We start from the raw sequence: 2863 nt of genomic DNA on the forward strand, positions 1-2863 counted from the left end.
AAGAAAGAAATAAGGCTAGGGATAACTAAAAAGAAAGATAGCACCCAGAGGGTTTTTCAAAATGTGTTTGAAGCTGGGACGAATAGATTGCGGTAGGCAGGGTAGCTTTCAATTTCGATAACTAGGAGACTGTACACATTTATAATTGCTCTAAAGAAATGACACTTTCCTTTGGTCTTCAAGTTTCCAAGCCTTATATTCAAAAGAAGGTAATACCTAAAATCAGCAAATGATCCTCTGTTTTGTAGATGAGCAGCAAAGATGTAAGAATTGTTTTCTCCTATATCCTAAGAGTTGCTTTGCTTAATATATGAAAGAGACACTCTGAAAGATTATTTGCTTAAAATATGGAAGAGACAACCTGACAATGCCTACATGAAGGAGGAAAAGGAGAGAAGTTTCTATTTATTGAGTGCCTAGTATGTACTAATCAATATTGCTAATATTTATTGCACATTTAATATTTGCTGGTCAATGTGTGTTTTCACTTATTTATCTTCGCAAGAAGCTTATAAGGTAGGTGCTATTATAATCATCATTTCGTGATGAGAAAAGGATCTTAGGCAAGTAAACTATCTTCACAGGAATATAACCAGGATTTGGTCCCATGGAGTATAACTCTAGAACTCCTGTGCTTAAAGACAAATGCCACCATTATACCACTGGATCCTCTTAACAACTGTTGGAATACACAGGCATTAACCCCATCACACCAATGAAGAAAGTAAAACCTAGAAAGGCTGAATAATAATTTGCTCTAGGTCATGCAGCTACCAGGTCACAGAGCCAAAGTGGAATTCTAGGTCTTTGTAACTCCAAAATCTTTTTCCAAGAATGCCACACTGCTTTTCCTTGTGTTTCTCCTAGGATAGGTGATACAGGAACATAACAGCCATATTAAAGCTTTCTTTCATTCTTTAGCTAAGAAAGCACTGCATCTTAAATAAAAGGGTATTTCCGTTTAGAATATTTATAAAGGTTAATGAGGAACGAAATGAACTGAAAGCCAGCAGGGAAATATTCCCAGCTGTAAACACCAAACTTTTACATTCTAATTCTACAAGAAAATATCCCAAACAGAACATCAAATTTTTTAATCAGATGCAGGTGAATCAGCTGAGCAACATTTTTACCATTTTTTTATCTCTGTTTAGAGGTCACTACCGACTAAACATTGGCAACATCACTCTGTTCAGGCAAATGTTGGATGAAGTAGGTGCTTAAAAAGGGAAAGGTGGACTCAAGTCCTACAATGAGGAATTTCCCATAAAAACAAGGAAATTAATACAGGATTTCTTTCGTCTTTTTCCATTAAAATTATGAGGTCTTTTTTTATCATTTTTTTTCAGAAGGTGGAAAAGGAGTAAAAAGACACGGAGTCAATTGTGCCTTTTATCTTAGTGGGAGTAGGCTTTTGGGAAGCTAACAGCATATATCTTATAAAGGCCTCTTTGTCACTATGTATACTCATGGTCCAGAAGGCAAAGGTTCTGGGGGCATCTATGAGCATCAACTTGGGCAATCTTGGTGATCACAGGAACAGCAAATCTTCTTTAAGTTTTGAGAGAGACCATAGTGAGATAACAGGGTTGATCCAAAGCCTGTAGAAAATCTAGGACAAATTATTTTGGCAACTGGTTCCAAACCACTTCATACCTGCCAAAGGGTGCATCAATCTACTAAGCCAGCTTTTACTAAAGCCAGTTCTCTCTTATACTGACAAGGAAAATTAAAACCAGATGGGGTCAGATAATAACTTGCCCTAGGTCATAGAGCTGGCAACTAACAGAACTACTTGTCTATCAAACTAATGGCATCCTCTTTATTAGCCATATCTGCCTACATGACAGTTTTTTACCTTACTAGACCCAAGAGGTTTCCCAGCATCTCAAATACCTAAAAACACAGACATTCAATGTCACTCTCTTTCCACCCCGCTTGCCTCCCTGTACCTTTCCTCATGCTGACTTTCCTATTTCTGCTCATGCCACCAAATTTTTTTCTGAATCATGAAGGCTCAAAACCTTAGAGTCATGTTCAACTCATCTTCCTTGCCAAGTTCTGCTAATTCTGCTGCAACAACATCTCCCAAATTTGTTCACTTTCAAGCATCTCAGTGGTAACATGAAGTGTAGGATACCATCACCTGCCTTTCACTTAAACTACTCAATGGGTTCCTAACCCCTTTCCTGCCTTCTAGTCATATTGTATTCTAATTCATCCTTGTTCAAATCTATCCTTACACCACTACTGAATTAATCTTTCTAATGTCTCATTATGTCACCCCAATCAAAAATTTTTTATCTCAAGTCATCCCGAGTAATTTCCACCTCATTTTCAAACCCATATATCAAATATTTCATGAATATGTTTCACTTCATATAAATTGGGTATGACCATTTAGATTCATTGGTTTTTATTTATAACTTTTAGGTAGTACATTATACGTTTCTTAATATTCTTATTTCCCACCCTATTATTTGCAAATTTTTGAAGGACAGAGACTGCATCACACTTTTCAGTTTCTGGTGATACTTAATAATTTTTGCCAAATAAATAATCAGTAAGTTTTTTTCACTTGGGTGCAAAATAATCAAATAGACTGGAATTAAAGTATGTCAAGGTCTGCCTAAAGCAAATCTCTCAAGTTAAAATGAAATAAAAGAAATTTATAAGAACAACAACAACAAAAATCCTACCCAGCAAAACTCCAGTGCTATCATTGAAGGTCATTTTTGCTTTTGCATACTTTTATTCTTTCATAGTTCCCAATATATCCCCTTTCTACATTTTCTTGAATCAATTTTGATCATTTGTATTTGTAAGATAAAATCTTTCACTTTTTCAGGGTTTCAAGATGACC

The sequence above is a fragment of the Homo sapiens genome, chromosome 3, assembly GCF_000001405.40.
Source record: "Homo sapiens chromosome 3, GRCh38.p14 Primary Assembly".
NCBI classification, from domain to species: domain Eukaryota; kingdom Metazoa; phylum Chordata; class Mammalia; order Primates; family Hominidae; genus Homo; species Homo sapiens.